At 36.5% G+C, this 17,041-nt stretch overlaps 1 protein-coding gene across 15 annotated transcripts in view; it reads left to right on the forward strand.

Moving 5' to 3' along the window:
* CD96 (CD96 molecule) overlaps positions 1–17,041 on the forward strand; it is a 123,800-nt gene that overhangs the window by 9,565 nt on the left and 97,194 nt on the right. For all 15 annotated transcript variants that reach the window (XR_007093273.1, XR_924090.2, XR_241462.2 and 12 more), the window contains exon 3: positions 15,762–15,886. Coding sequence is in view for 5 of the 15 variants with exons in the window: in NM_198196.3 (NP_937839.1) it covers positions 15,762–15,886 (125 nt within the window). In the remaining 10 variants the exon portion in view is untranslated. The remainder of the gene's footprint in view (positions 1–15,761; positions 15,887–17,041) is intronic.

Genomic DNA, 17,041 nt, shown 5'->3' on the forward strand with positions numbered 1-17,041 from the left:
TGGGTCAGAATGATTTATAACAGAATGATTTATATTCCTTTGAGTATATACCAGTAACGGGATTGCTGGGTCAAATGGTATTTCTGCCTTTAGGTCTTTGACGAATGGCCACACTGTCTTCCACAATGGCTGAACTAATTTACACTCCCACCAACAGTGTAAAAGCATTCCTTTTTCTCAGCAACTTCACCAGCATCTGTTCTTTCTTGACTTTTTAATAATAGCCATTCTGAGTGGTGCAAGATGATATCTCCTTGTAGTTTTGATTTGCATTTCTCTAATTATCAGTGATGTTGAGCTTTTTTTCATATTTGTTGGCTGCATATATGTCTTCTTTTGAGAAGTGTCTATTCATGTCCTGTGCCCACTTTTTAATGAGTTTGTTTTTTTTCTTGTAAATTTGTTTAAGTTCCTTTGTAGACACTGGATATTAGACCCCAGGCCCTTTAAGAGGTGATATAAGGGCTCCACTCTCCTGGAAAAGATTTGTGGCAATATAAAAATGTGTGTTTGTCCCCCTCTTTTCTCTCTGTGGCTCTTCTGCTCTTCTGCCATGTGGGGAGCAGCATTCCTCCCTCCGAGGATGCAGCATTCAAAGTGCCATCTTGAAAGAGGACAGGACACTGGGCTCTAACCAGACACCAAACCTGCCGATGTTTTGATCTTGGACTTTCCAGCCTCAAGAACTGAGATAAACAAATATGTCTTTTAATAAGTTACCTAATCTCAGATATTCTTTTGCAGCATCACAAAACAGACTGAAATAGTCCAAATACTAAATATTTTAGGCTTTGTGGTCCATGTAGTCTCTGTCACAACTACTCAACTCTACCACTGTTGCATAAAAAGCATCACAGAGAATATGTAAATGAATGGGCCTGACTGTGTTCTAATTCAACTTTATTTACAAAAATAGGCAACAAGCCAGATTTGGCCCACAGGCCAAGGTTTATGACCTCTGAGTTAGAGGATAATAGCAGTGAATCAAGGAAGAAAGGGATTGTTTTGTTTTTCTTAAAATATGTTGCTCATAACTGACAATACTGGTACTGGAGATGGTTTTAGGTGATTCATGAAACAACTATAAAAGCTTTAATTGTGGAAAACTCTAAACAATATACAAAAAATACATAGAATAATTATGAAAATTATATAGAATAATTTCCCACATACTGAACATACAACTTCAACAATTATCAACTCATAGGCAATCTCATTTTATTTAAACCCTTATCAACTGCTGCCTTCCAAGATTACTTTGGAGAAAATGCAAGACTTCTTGTTTATTTTAGTATGAATCTTTAAAAGATAAAGATGTCATTAAAAAAAAGCCATAATCTACCACCAAAACTAAAAAAAAATTAGTATTTAATATTATTCAATATCCCATCAGCCTGATGTTATATTTTGTTTTTTTTTTTAAATTAGGATGCAGATAAACTAGATATATTGTGATTATTTGGAAATTCCCTTTTAATCTGAAAGCTATATTACATTTGTTATTTTTCCTTTGCGATATATTTGTTGAATAAATTTGATGATTTGTCCAGCCTGGATTTTGCTCTTATAGTCCCATAGTATCTCTATGTTTTCACCTTATAGTTAGACTTATAAACTCTAAGTTATCTTATATTCTTGACAGAGACTTGATAACATTTAGGTTTTCTTTTTTCTTTTTTTTTTTTTTTGGCAAGACTACGTGATAGATGATGCATAGTTATATGAGAGGCACATAATTCTGGTTACATGATATTAAGAGCCACTGGTGAGCCTTGCCTACATCCATTAAATCATTATGATTTGCCGAATAGAAATATTCTATCATTCCCTAATTTATTAGCTTAAGTATTTCTATAAAGAGAAACTTCCTCTCATCAACTTATTATTTATTTGATGTATAGTTTGTATAAGAAAAGCAGAATAGATACTTGATTCTTTCCCTTTAATCACCAGTTTTAAAAATGAGTTGGTTAACTAGTATTTTTAGAAAGTGACCCGTAAGTATTTTATGTTAAGTATCATGAATTTATATGAACTTAAACATACTGATGAATTTCAATTCATTACGGTTATTATCCTTATTTTACTGAAAATTTCCCATATATAAAACCTATTAATCCTTTGTTATATAAGTTGCAAATATTTTCCCAGTTTGTCATTTATTCTTACTTTCTTATATTGTTTGCAATGCAGCATGTTTCTTATTTTTATTAAATAAAATCTATTACTCTTTTCCCTTATTGGTCCTGATTTTAAGTTTTGGTCAAGAAAAGTTTTCTTCATTTCCAAATTATATAAGAATTCACTCATAATTTCTGATACTTGCATGCTTTCTTTTATGAGCATTTAAATTTGTAACATTAGGTTTCTGGTGCAAAATAAAAACACCTAAATTTACATTTTTATATATCTCTAATGCCTTCTTCTATATTTTCTACTTTTTTTCCCTTCTGTGATTCAATTAGGTATTCACCTGTCTTCCAATCATGAACTCTATCTCTATGATGTCCAATAAGTTTTTACCCCATCAAATTAGTTCTTAATTTCTGATATTGTATTTTTAAGTTATTTGATCACATTTGATAGATTTTTAATTTTTGATAAATTTGTCCACCTTTTGATCTACTTCCTCCATTTCTTCTCTGTTTTCTTGACTATATGAAAAAGAGTTATTTTAAATCTTTGTTGGATAACTCCAAAGTCAGAAGCATTTGTTTGTCTGTTCCTATGTCTATTTTTCTCTTATTTTCTTTTTTTGCAACTTGCTCCACCGTATCTCCTCTAAACCACTCTGTATTACTAAATATACTGCATCTATATCAAACTATAAAGTACACGTATATAATAATATATGTATTAAACTCAACAGTTCAGTGTTAAATTAAGGATTTAAAGCAGCAGTACCCAACTTTTTGACACTAGGTACCGGCATGGAAGACAACTTTTCCATAGACTGTGGTGGAGGGGGATGGTTTGGGGATGATTCAAGCCTATTACATTTATTGTGCACTTTATTTGTATTATTATTACATTGTAATATATAATGAAATAATTATACAACTCACCATAATGTAGAATCAGTGGGAGCCCTGAGCTTGTCTTCCTGCAACTAGATGGTCCCATCTGGGGGTGATGGGAAACAGCAACAGATCATCAGGCATTAGATTCTCATAAGGAGCACACAACCTAGATCCCTCAAATGTGTAATTCACAATAGAGTTCGCACTCCTATGAAAATCTAATGCAGCCACTGATTTGGCAGGACACAGATCTCAGATGGTAATGCAAGTGATGGGGAGTAGCTGTAAATACAGATGAAGCTTTTCTTACTCACACACTGCTCACCTCCTGCTGTGTGGCCCCATTCCTTAACAGGCCACGGACAAGTACCAGTCCATGGTCCAGGGGCTAAGAACCCCTGATTTAAAGAATTTCATGTTCTTTAACAAAATTAAGAGAAAAGAAAAGAAAAATAAATGTATGTATAGTTTTTATTTACTCACATATGAAGACTACATATATAATTTTTCATATTTACTCACGTATTTACCATTTTTTGTGCTCTTTATTTTATCCCATGAATTGGAGTTACTGTTTGTTGTCATTTCTTTTCAGCCTGAAGGACTTTAGTATTTCGTGTAAGACAAATCTACTTGCAATGAATTCTTTCAGATTTTTTCATTTTTAATTTTAAAGGATAATTTCAATGGATATAGAATTCAGAGTGGATTGTTTCTCTTTCTTTTAGCATTTTGAATATATCTTTCGATCGCCATTATTTCTGATTAAAATGAGCCACTAGTTATATTATTAGTCTGCTGAATGGGATGAGCTTTTGTTTTTGTTTGTTTGGTTGGTTGGTTTTTGCTCCTTTCAATTGCTACTTTTATAATTTAGTCTTTCTTTTTGGCTTCCAGAAGTTTGATTATGATGTGTCTTTTGGCTTTCAGAAGTTTGATTATGGGTGTCTCTTTGTGTTTGTCCTATTCAGGTTTTGTTAAAGTTCTTGGATGTGTAGATTAATTTTAAGAAAGTTTTTAAATAATCAAATATGTGAAGTTTTTGGCCATTTTTTCTTCAAATATTTGATCCATCCCCTTACTCTTTCACTTCTTTTTCTACTACTCCTGTTTCATGTATGTTACCATACTTGATACTGTCCTATATGGCTCTGAAGCTGTTTTCATTTCTTTCAATCCTTTTTCTCCCTTGAGATTAGATAATTTATATTGAACAATGTTCAAATACACTGATTCTTTCTTCAGCCATCTCAAATTTGCTATTGAGAACATCTAGTAAATTTCTTATTTTTGCTACTGACATTTCAACTCTAAAATATACATTTGCTTCATTTTATAGCTTTCTATTTCTCTACTAACATTTCCTATTTATTGAGTCATTGTCATATTTTGCTTTAATACTTTGAATAGACTAATAACAACTTCTTTTTTTTTTATTATACTTTAAGTTTTAGGGTACATGTGCACATTGTGCAGGTTAGTTACATATGTATACATGTGCCGTGCTGGTGCGCCGCACCCACTAACTCGTCATCTAGCATTAGGTATATCTCCCAATGCTATCCCTCCCCCCTCCCCCCACCCCACAACAGTCCCCAGAGTGTGATATTCCCCTTCCTGTGTCCATGTGATCTCATTGTTCAATTCCCACCTATGAGTGAGAATATGCGGTGTTTGGTTTTTTGTTCTTGCGATAGTTTACTGAGAAAGATGATTTCCAATTTCATCCATGTCCCTACAAAGGACGTGAACTCATCATTTTTTATGGCTGCATAGTATTCCACGGTGTATATGTTCCACATTTTCTTAATCCAGTCTATCATTGTTGGACATTTGGGTTGGTTCCAAGTCTTTGCTATTGTGAATAATGCCGCAATAAACATACGTGTGCATGTGTCTTTATAGCAGCATGATTTATAGTCATTTGGGTATATACCCAGTAATGGGATGGCTGGCTCAAATGGTATTTCTAGTTCTAGATCCCTGAGGAATCACCACACTGACTTCCATAATGGTGGAACTAGTTTACAGTCCCACCAACAGTGTAAAAGTGTTCCTGTTTCTCCACATCCTCTCCAGCACCTGTTGTTTCCTGACTTTGTAATGATTGTCATTCTAACTGGTGTGAGATGGTATCTCATAGTGGTTTTGATTTGCATTTCTCTGATGGCCAGTGATGATGAGCATTTTTTCATGTGTTTTTTGGCAGCATAAATGTCTTCTTTTGAGAAGTGTCTGTTCATGTCCTTCGCACACTTTTTGATGGGGTTGTTTGTTTTTTTCTTGTAAATTTGTTTGAGTTCATTGTAGATTCTGGATATTAGCCCTTTGTCAGATGAGTAGGTTGCGAAAATTTTCTCCCATTTTGTAGGTTGCCTGTTCACTCTGATGGTAGTTTCTTTTGCTGTGCAGAAGCTCTTTAGTTTAATTAGATCCCATTCGTCAATTTTGGCTTTTGTTGCCATTGCTTTTGGTGTTTTAGACATGAAGTCCTTGCCCATGCCTATGTCCTGAATGGTAATGCCTAGGTTTTCTTCTAGGGTTTTTATGGTTTTAGGTCTAACGTTTAAATCTTTAATCCATCTTGAATTGATTTTTGTATAAGGTGTAAGGAAGGGATCCAGTTTCAGCTTTCTACATATGGCTAGCCAGTTTTCCCAGCACCATTTATTAAATAGGGAATCCTTTCCCCATTGCTTGTTTTTCTCAGGTTTGTCAAAGATCAGATAGTTGTAGGTATGCGGCGTTAATTCTGAGGGCTCTGTTCTGTTCCATTGATCTATATCTCTGTTTTGGTACCAGTACCATGCTGTTTTGGTTACTGTAGCCTTGTAGTATAGTTTGAAGTCAGGTAGTGTGATGCCTCCAGCTTTGTTCTTTTGGCTTAGGATTGACTTGGCGATGCGGGCTCTATTTTGGTTCCATATGAACTTTAAAGTAGTTTTTTCCAATTCTGTGAAGAAAGTCATTGGTAGCTTGATGGGGATGGCATTGAATCTGTAAATTACCTTGGGCAGTATGGCCATTTTCACGATATTGATTCTTCCTACCCATGAGCATGGAATGTTCTTCCATTTGTTTGTATCCTCTTTTATTTCGTTGAGCAGTGGTTTGTAGTTCTCCTTGAAGAGGTCCTTCACATCCCTTGTAAGTTGGATTCCTAGGTATTTTATTCTCTTTGAAGCAATTGTGAATGGGAGTTCACTCATGATTTGGCTCTCTGTTTGTGTGTTGTTGGTGTATAAGAATGCTTGTGATTTTTGTACATTGATTCTGTATCCTGAGACTTTGCTGAAGTTGCTTATCAGCTTAAGGAGATTTTGGGCTGAGACAATGGGGTTTTCTAGATATACAATCATGTCGTCTGCAAACAGGGACAATTTGACTTCCTCTTTTCCTAATTGAATACCCTTTATTTCCTTCTCCTGCCTAATTGCCCTGGCCAGAACTTCCAACACTATGTTGAATAGGAGTGGTGAGAGAGGGCATCCCTGTCTTGTGCCAGTTTTCAAAGGGAATGCTTCCAGTTTTTGCCCATTCAGTATGATATTGGCTGTGGGTTTGTCATAGATAGCTCTTATCATTTTGAAATACGTCCCATCAATACCGAATTTATTGAGAGTTTTTAGCATGAAGGGTTGTTGAATTTTGTCAAAGGCTTTTTCTGCATCTATTGAGATAATCATGTGGTTTTTGTCTTTGGCTCTGTTTATATGCTGGATTACATTTATTGATTTGCGTATATTGAACCAGCCTTGCATCCCAGGGATGAAGCCCACTTGATCATGGTGGATAAGCTTTTTGATGTGCTGCTGGATTCGGTTTGCCAGTATTTTATTGGGGATTTTTGCATCAATGTTCATCAAGGATATTGGTCTAAAATTCTCTTTTTTGGTTGTGTCTCTGCCCGGCTTTGGTATCAGAATGATGCTGGCCTCATAAAATGAGTTAGGGAGGATTCCCTCTTTTTCTATTGATTGGAATAGTTTCAGAAGGAATGGTACCAGTTCCTCCTTGTACCTCTGGTAGAATTCGGCTGTGAATCCATCTGGTCCTGGACTCTTTTTGGTTGGTAAACTATTGACTATTGCCACAATTTCAGCTCCTGTTATTGGTCTATTCAGAGATGCAACTTCTTCCTGGTTTAGTCTTGGGAGAGTGTATGTGTCAAGGAATTTATCCATTTCTTCTAGATTTTCCAGTTTATTTGCATAGAGGTGTTTGTAGTATTCTCTGATGGTAGTTTGTATTTCTGTGGGAAAGGTGGTGATATCCCCTTTATCATTTTTTATTGTGTCTATTTGATTCTTCTCTCTTTTTTTCTTTATTAGTCTTGCTAGCGGTCTATCAATTTTGTTGATCCTTTCAAAAAACCAGCTCCTGGATTCATTGATTTTTTGAATGGTTTTTTGTGTCTCTATTTCCTTCAGTTCTGCTCTGATTTTAGTTATTTCTTGCCTTCTGCTAGCTTTTGAATGTGTTTGCTCTTGCTTTTCTAGTTCTTTTAATTGTGATGTTAGGGTGTCAATTTTGGATCTTTCCTGCTTTCTCTTGTGGGCATTTAGTGCTATAAATTTCCCTCTACACACTGCTTTGAATGCATCCCAGAGATTCTGGTATGTCGTGTCTTTGTTCTCGTTGGTTTCAAAGAACATCTTTATTTCTGCCTTCATTTCGTTATGTACCCAGTAGTCATTCAGGAGCAGGTTGTTCAGTTTCCATGTAGTTGAGCGGTTTTGAGTGAGATTCTTAATCCTGAGTTCTAGTTTGATTGCACTGTGGTCTGAGAGATAGTTTGTTATAATTTCTGTTCTTTTACATTTGCTGAGGAGAGCTTTACTTCCAACTATGTGGTCAATTTTGGAATAGGTGTGGTGTGGTGCTGAAAAAAATGTATATTCTGTTGATTTGGGGTGGAGAGTTCTGTAGATGTCTATTAGGTCTGCGTGGTGCAGAGCTGAGTTCAATTCCTGGGTATCCTTGTTGACTTTCTGTCTCGTTGATCTGTCTAATGTTGACAGTGGGGTGTTAAAGTCTCCCATTATTAATGTGTGGGAGTCTAAGTCTCTTTGTAGGTCACTCAGGACTTGCTTTATGAATCTGGGTGCTCCTGTATTGGGTGCATATATATTTAGGATAGTTAGCTCTTCTTGTTGAATTGATCCCTTTACCATTATGTAATGGCCTTCTTTGTCTCTTTTGATCTTTGTTGGTTTAAAGTCTGTTTTATCAGAGACTAGGATTGCAACCCCTGCCTTTTTTTGTTTTCCATTTGCTTGGTAGATCTTCCTCCATCCTTTTATTTTGAGCCTATATGTGTCTCTGCACGTGAGATGGGTTTCCTGAATACAACACACTGATGGGTCTTGACTCTTTATCCAATTTGCCAGTCTGTGTCTTTTAATTGGAGAATTTAGTCCATTTACATTTAAAGTTAATAGTGTTATGTGTGAATTTGATCCTGTCATTATGATGTTAGCTGGTGATTTTGCTCGTTAGTTGACACAGTTTCTTCCTAGTCTCGATGGTCTTTACATTTTGGCATGATTTTGCAGCAGCTGGTACCAGTTGTTCCTTTCCATGTTTAGCGCTTCCTTCAGGAGCTCTTTTAGGGCAGGCCTGGTGGTGACAAAATCTCTCAGCATTTGCTTGTCTGTAAAGTATTTAATTTCTCCTTCACTTATGAAGCTTAGTTTGGCTGGATATGAAATTCTGGGTTGAAAATTCTTTTCTTTAAGAATGTTGAATATTGGCCCCCACTCTCTTCTGGCTTGTAGGGTTTCTGCCGAGAGATCCACTGTTAGTCTGATGGGCTTCCCTTTGAGGGTAACCCGACCTTTCTCTCTGGCTGCCCTTAACATTTTTTCCTTCATTTCAACTTTGGTGAATCTGACAATTATGTGTCTTGGAGTTGCTCTTCTCGAGGAGTATCTTTGTGGCGTTCTCTGTATTTCCTGAATCTGAACGTTGGCCTGCCTTGCTAGATTGGGGAAGTTCTCCTGGATAATATCCTGCAGAGTGTTTTCCAACTTGGTTCCATTCTCCCCATCACTTTCAGGTACACCAATCAGACGTAGATTTGGTCTTTTCACATAGTCCCATATTTCTTGGAGGCTTTGCTCATTTCTTTTTATTCTTTTTTCTCTAAACTTCCCTTCTCGCTTCATTTCATTCATTTCATCTTCCATTGCTGATACCCTTTCTTCCAGTTGATCACATTGGCTCCTGAGGCTTCTGCATTCTTCACATAGTTCTCGAGCCTTGGTTTTCAGCTCCATCAGCTCCTTTAAGCACTTCTCTGTATTGGTTATTCTAGTTATACATTCTTCTAAATTTTTTTCAAAGTTTTCAACTTCTTTGCCTTTGGTTTGAATGTCCTCCCGTAGCTCAGAGTAATTTGATCGTCTGAAGCCTTCTTCTCTCAGCTCGTCAAAGTCATTCTCCATCCAGCTTTGTTCCGTTGCTGGTGAGGAACTGTGTTCCTTTGGAGGAGGAGAGGCGCTCTGCGTTTTAGAGTTTCCAGTTTTTCTGTTCTGTTTTTTCCCCATCTTTGTGGTTTTATCTACTTTCGGTCTTTGATGATGGTGATGTACAGATGGGTTTTCGGTGTGGATGTCCTTTCTGTTTGTTAGTTTTCCTTCTAACAGACAGGACCCTCAGCTGCAGGTCTGTTGGAATACCCTGCCTTGTGAGGTGTCAGTGTGCCCCTGCTGCGGGGTGCCTCCCAGTTAGGCTGCTCGGGGGTCAGGGGTCAGGGACCCACTTGAGGAGGCAGTCTGCCGGTTCTCAGATCTCCAGCTGCGTGCTGGGAGAACCACTGCTCTCTTCAAAGCTGTCAGACAGGGACATTTAAGTCTGCAGAGGTTACTGCTGTCTTTTTGTTTGTCTGTGCCCTGCCCCCAGAGGTGGAGCCTACAGAGGCAGGCAGGCCTCCTTGAGCTGTGGTGGGCTCCACCCAGTTCGAGCTTCCCGGCTGCTTTGTTTACCTAAGCAAGCCTGGGCAATGGCGGGCGCCCCTCCCCCAGCCTCGCTGCCGACTTGCAGTTTGATCTCAGACTGCTGTGCTAGCAATCAGCGAGATTCCGTGGGCGTAGGACCCTCCGAGCCAGGTGTGGGATATAGTCTCGTGGTGCGCCGTTTTTTAAGCCGGTCTGAAAAGCGCAATATTCGGGTGGGAGTGACCCGATTTTCCAGGTGCGTCCGTCACCCCTTTCTTTGACTCGGAAAGGGAACTCCCTGACCCCTTGCACTTCCCAGGTGAGGCAATGCCTCGCCCTGCTTCGGCTCCCGCACGGTGCGCGCACCCACTGGCCTGCGCCCACTGTCTGGCGCTCCCTAGTGAGATGAACCCAGTACCTCAGATGGAAATGCAGAAATCACCGGTCTTCTGCGTCGCTCACGTTGGGAGCTGTAGACCGGAGCTGTTCCTATTCGGCCATCTTGGCTCCTCCCCGAATAACAACTTCTTTGAAGTCTCTTAAATTCAACACCTGGGTCCACCCAGATTCAGCTGCAATTACCTTTTTTCCTTATTATGGGTCACACATCCCTGATTCCTCCATGTCTCATAATTTTGTGTTGAAAACTGGACATTAAAAAATATATATATATTTATAGACAGACTATAGAATATATATATATGTTGCAACTCTATATTATGTCTTATTTAGGTTCATTTTGTTTCATTTTAGTAACTTATCTGTGCTTAAATTGAATGTCTCCTTTGCAATGCAAGGCCATTGATCTCTCTTCTCGATTTTTATACTAATAGTTATTTTTTAATTTGGCTTGCAAGAAGTTGCCCCTGCATTGGCAAAGCCACTTTATTGGTCCAGCCATGATTTTGGCAAAAGTTATGCTCAAATACTTAAATCCATTAGGCTTCCTCTCTTTATGCATAGATTTGTGTGTCAATCAGGGAGTGCATTCAAAGTTGCAGCCAGTTGTCCAGACTTCCTGGGCTTTTACATTTTGCTACGCTCTTTTGGGTCTCCCTGACTCAGTGTGTAGTTTCCTAGTCAGGGTATAATCTGTGAAGTCTTTATCTTAGCCATTCCATGACTCTAGTTTCCAGGATCTCCATGTTAAAGGTCTTTCTGGTCTAGCACTGTCTTTGTTTTGTGCTGCTCTAACAGAATACCACAGACTGATACATTAGAAAGGATAGACATTTATCTTCTCACAGTTCTGGAGGTTGAAAATGTCCAAGATCAAGCCATTGACATCTGGTGAGGGCCTGCTTGCTAAATCCTCTGGAGGGGAGAAATGCCATGTCCTCACATGGTGGAAGGCAGAAGGGCAAGAGACAAAAGGGGAATTAACTCGCCCTTTTATAATGGCATTAATGCCACTCATGAAAGCTCTGTCCTATCACCTCCCAAAGGTTCCACCTTCTAATACTGACACAATGGCAACCAAATTTCAACATGCATTTCAGAGGGGAGAAGCATTCAAATCATAGCAGCCACTCACTCCAGATGGGAATACAAACCCAAACTAACCAAGCTTCAGGTTTTAGGCACCTACGAAGTTTGCTTCTGTTATGGGAAAAGGTGAAAGGTTTCTATCCCTAGACCTAATTTAAGTCTGCCCATTGTGGAAAAAAAGCTGCTGGTTTTTGCAACCAGCTCCATGTGGCTAAAACTACATTTCTTAATGACCAGGTTGGAGAAGGGAATGGATGGAGCTGAGGCAAAAAGATTGAAGTCTCCTGCTGTTTTTACTAAAGCTCTAGTGATTTTTCAATAAGAAATGCTTTGCAATTTAATGACTACCTTTAGTCAATTTCCACGGCCCTAAAATTGTTGTTGTTTTTTTAAACACATTTCCCCAGTTTTGTACTTGTCTGTTTTTACTGACCTCCTCATGTCCCCATAACCAGAAGTCTCTCATTCCTACACCCCATATTTTGATATTTATATTGTATCTTTATTTAAAAACATATATTCATCACTATTCCCTTTGTTGTAACAATTATATATTCTTAGTGCTAAAGGTAAATAGATAATCAACATTTACCACTAACCTTTATGTAAATGCATCTCCAGTTTGAAATGTATTCTATTGGAGAATCCTCAGGAAAGGCTCATAGCAGCAATATTCTCTGAGTTCTTGTGTAACTCTAACATCTTTCTGTAGTCTTTATTAAAAAAGACTTTATTAAAAAAGAATATAAAATCTTTGGCTCACATTTTCTTTCCCTGAGTATATTAACTATGTTACTCTATTGTTTTCTGGCAGAGGACTGCTATCAAAAAGCTAATAACAATCAGATTTTCTTTCCCCATGTTTGACTTTGCTCGATACTTTTATATGAACATGCTTAAAGTTGTCCATTCTGGGTCTATTTTCCTATTTTGCAGTATAATCGTTTAATGTGCAGTTTCTAGTCATTTTAAATTTTATTATATTTTTCTTGAATTATAGTTTTTAATATTTGTTCTGTTCCATTGCTTTCATCTTTTTTCTTTAATGTCTTTTATTGTACATATATTTTTATCTTCTTTGCATATCATTTCCTTTGAATCTCTTTTATCAACTTTTTTCTTTTTTTATAATTACATATTGCTTTATTTATTTCAAAATTTCCCTCATTCTATTTTGAAAATGAACTTCAATGAATTAACTTTTGTGTTTCTGTGTTTCTGGTTTCATTCTAATTTTGTCTTAGTTTCTGGAGTGATTTTTAAAAATTTATTATTTCTAACCCTTTCTCGAATTTCGTTACCTATGTTTTGTAAGCTTTTTTCTTCCACTGGACTCATTGGGAACTTTCCAAAATTGTGCACAATTTCATCATTTTATTTCTTTTAGCTCATTTTGAATAATTTGGCTATAGTTTTTATTTACTTTGTTGTCGTGTCTTGATAATATGCTCTCATTGTTGTAGGAATGTTATTTTGTTCTCTATTCTTTTTTTGCTTCTGGTATCTTTATAGGTTATTCTATCTCATTCCCTTTCTATCACTCATGCTTAAGTTAAATGCATTCTTATCACAGAGGAGTGGGCCAGCCTAGCTTTTCTAGAGTGTTCAGTATCCCTAAAGCCGCCTCTTCTGTTATTTTCAAGGTAAGTAATTTACCATTGTACTTTCTGAGTGTATTTCCTTTGCTTCTATCCCTCACTTTTACCTAAATTGCCTATTTGATTTCTCTTAGTGGACCTGTCCTGTCTTATTGGATTCTATGTCCAGCAGTTTTTTCTCCCCATGGCATGTGTCCTGAGAAGTCCTTTCTGCTCCAGCACTGACAACCTTTTTCTTATTTTTCTTGAAGACACTGGTGATTTGGTGCCCGCAAACTCTCTTCTCCATTTGAGCTACTATTCTTGGATTAATCTACCTGTCTTTCCAGTGATTACCTGTTACTAGGCAGAGGGAGGTGGTATGGGTTCTCTAGTTCTAAGATCCATCAGAAGCCCAGTTGATCTTCCTCTGTTTCTGCACAGTTACTGATAGCACAGTGGTTTAGTGGATTTTTCCCCACCAATTAAGAGGGATGTGTTGTTATTTAGTGTTCGTGTAGATATGATCTATGTATTTTTAGTTTTGTTACCCTATTTATCTTCTTTGTTTTTATAGAGGGTTTCAGGTATATTCAAAAAGTAATGCCACTTATACTGCCAGCTTCCCAGATTCTGGACAAAATTTACAAAAATGTAATACTTATGTATTTGACTGATGTTCATTAAAATATAACTAACATATTTGGATTGCATGGACTTCAGAGATATTCAGTATATTTTAAATAAATATATATAAGTAAAACAATTACAATAATTTAAGAATAAAATTAGATAGTAGTAATGGTCTTATGCAAATATGGCAAAAAATGATGATAGTAGAGATGGTATAGAAACAACTCCATTTGGAAGTGCTGTGATAGCTAAGTGATTTTTTTTCTCCTTAAGGGACAGGGGTCTTTTTTTTCAATTATGGGCTTGGAGTACTATTTGGAAACAGCAGTGGAGAGCAAGGAAAGCACTGATCCCACCTCCAGAACTTGAGGAATTAGAGTGCAAGAAAATATATAACCACTATTTGGAAATGCTGTGGGGAAGATGTACCCTAATGGGAAGATCTGGTTTTAATTAGGAAAAGGAGGAGGAAAGAGTTATTGGTAAAGAAGATAGATGATATTGATAAGAGATTAAAATATAACAAAGATCTAAAGGCTAGATATAAAATTTATAAACAGAAATATGCCATTAAAATGTATACTGTTATATAGCATATATTTATATATATATTTATATATATAATTTTTAGCCCTAAATTGGTGCTTTAATCTTCAGTTTCCTTTTCCTTGATCAGAAAGACTATAAAACTTCATAACCTAGCCTTTGCCTTTTTATTTTGATGGACTAATACTGTATAAAAGTTATACCGTTTTATAACATATATATATATATTCACAATGTTAGTAGCAATAAGAATGTTCATACTCAATGATCCATTAATTATACCTCAGAGAATTTATCTTAAGTAGCTGAATGGTCAGAAGAAAGCTATTAGCATGAGGATGATCCTTGCTATATAGCATGTAATGGTTTAAAATAAAGTAAAAAGTCCAAACTGAAAGAGCATAATGATTCAATAATTGGAAATGACTAAATGAATGATGATTAGTATATATGATAAAATGACATGAAGCCCCCATAAATTTAAATCACCTGTAGTTCAAGAATCACACAAAACATTCTAAAGTAACAACATATATAACATTCATTGGTAAACAGGATTGCAGACTATGAGAATACATGCATGTATGCAAACAAGATTTGAATATAGAAAAAAGAATATAAGATTTTTAGGATATTTAGATGGTAGAGTTGCCTTTATTTGTAAACTTCTTTTGATGCTATAGTTTAGTCACAAATTTATATGTATGTATATAAAACTTTCCCAATAGGAGAGACTACAAAATGGATATTTATCTTCTATTACCTTAAAAATGAAAATAATTAACACTGCTTCCTCAAAGTTTCCTTATATATGTTTGTGTCATTCCTTTGTGGGAGGAATGTTTATAAACTCTGGGAAGACTGTTAGATATGAAGACTGTAAAAAGAACAGAATTTTAGGGCAGGAAAACTATTATGTATGATACTATAACTGTGGACACATGTCATTATACATTTGTCCAAACCCATAGAATGTGCAAAATTAAGAGTAAACCCTAATGTAAACTATGAACTTTGGGTGATAATGAAGTGCCAGTGTGGGTTCGTTAATTGTAACAAATGTACCGCTGTGGAACAGGATGTCCACAGTGGGGGAGGCTGTGGGTGGGTAGAGGTAGTAGATATACTGGGAACTTTGTACTTTCTGCTCAATTTTGCTGTGAACCTAAAACTACTCCAAAAAATAAAGTCCAACAAAATAAAAAGACAGTTAAGGCTAGGTTATGAAGTTTTGTATTCTATCTGATCAAGGAAATGGAACCTGAAGATTAAAGCACCAATTTGGGGCCAAAGCAGAACATGCCAAATCATGAGTTTGATTCTGTTGGGGTCATTTCCTTGTAATTTTTCAGTGTTTAGCAACAATTCTGTGCTCCTCAGTGACTCTGTTTAGCCACTTATACAATGAGGGCTATCGTGGGAGTTTGCCTCTCTTTTTCATAGGTGTACCCTGAGGACAGATGAATCCCTATACTAAAACTGTTTTTGTCTCTTTGATAAAAAGCACTTTACAAACCAATCAGAGATTCACATATTTTCTACCTTATGTTTTGTTACAGTTACAGCAGATGAATGGAACAGCAACCATACGATAGAAATAGAGATAAATCAGACTCTGGAAATACCATGCTTTCAAAATAGCTCCTCAAAAATTTCATCTGAGTTCACCTATGCATGGTCGGTGGTAAGTGTTGCCCTTTTCAGTGAATAACCTCAATGGTCTTTAAACATTAACGAAGTAAAATGAATAAGCAGTAATAATAGGGAAGGAAGCATACAAATAACAGGCAGGCATTATGCCAGTGGTGGGAAGAGGGGTAGGGAAGGAAGGAGAGGTCACTCAGATTCCTTCTCACAGGCAAGCCTCTGAGTCTATGAATGCAGTGAATTAATTTATAAATTTGCTTCTAAAGATTGATTTTTACTTCTATCTATATACCAAACCATGGTTACAGAAAGAACAAAGTGTGATAGTGCCCTAGAAAGGAGCCATATTCAGCAGAAGCCCCTACTCACAGATACTTGTTTCACAAACAACATATGCAGAGCTACAGACTCCTTTCTCCAAAAACACTTATTACTACATCCTGGGAAATATCCAACATTGGGTTAGATAGGGAAGCACAGACTCTAATGCTTGTGAAATATAAGCAGCAAATGTATATGAGACGAGCAGGCCTTGTATAAGAAACAGTCACTGCCCAGCTCTTGTAATGCCACAGGGGGCTGCAGGCCTATAGTTGCATGCCTTCTCATTAAAAAACAAAAAACAGACAAACAAACAAAAGCCAGAAATCTGGATTTTTATGAAAAATTTTCCAATTTTAAAAATGATGTGTAGAGCAAAAATGAATAGTGGTCTATTATTTTGATGTTAGAGCAAAAATAAGTACTGGTCTATTATTTTGCTAAGACACTGTAAAATATAACTCTAATTATAAATTTAAAAAATTTCACTGAGGATTCACTTTGGCAGTTATGGTGGGCCAACTATTAAGTTGCTTAACATGCTTAACATGTCCTGTGATGACTAAATTCTCCCACTACTTTTCTCTCCTTGAAATACTGCAGAGTTCATCTATACAGATCTTTATCTAATCGGATTTATGATTTAATTTGGCCTGTCCCTTAACAAAACTGCATCAGTTATCTACTTTGTCTGCCTTTGTTATTTTATCCTTAGTCTACATTGTTCTGCCTAATGCATCAGTTTATTTTTAAAATCTAAATTTAATCTTAAAAACTAAAATTGAGCTTTTTCTCATAACACGTAAACAAAATCAACATGAGGATAATAATAAATATGAAAGAATTGTGTCATTATAACTTTAATGTTAGT

Source organism: Homo sapiens, chromosome 3, assembly GCF_000001405.40.
Source record: "Homo sapiens chromosome 3, GRCh38.p14 Primary Assembly".
NCBI lineage: Eukaryota > Metazoa > Chordata > Mammalia > Primates > Hominidae > Homo > Homo sapiens.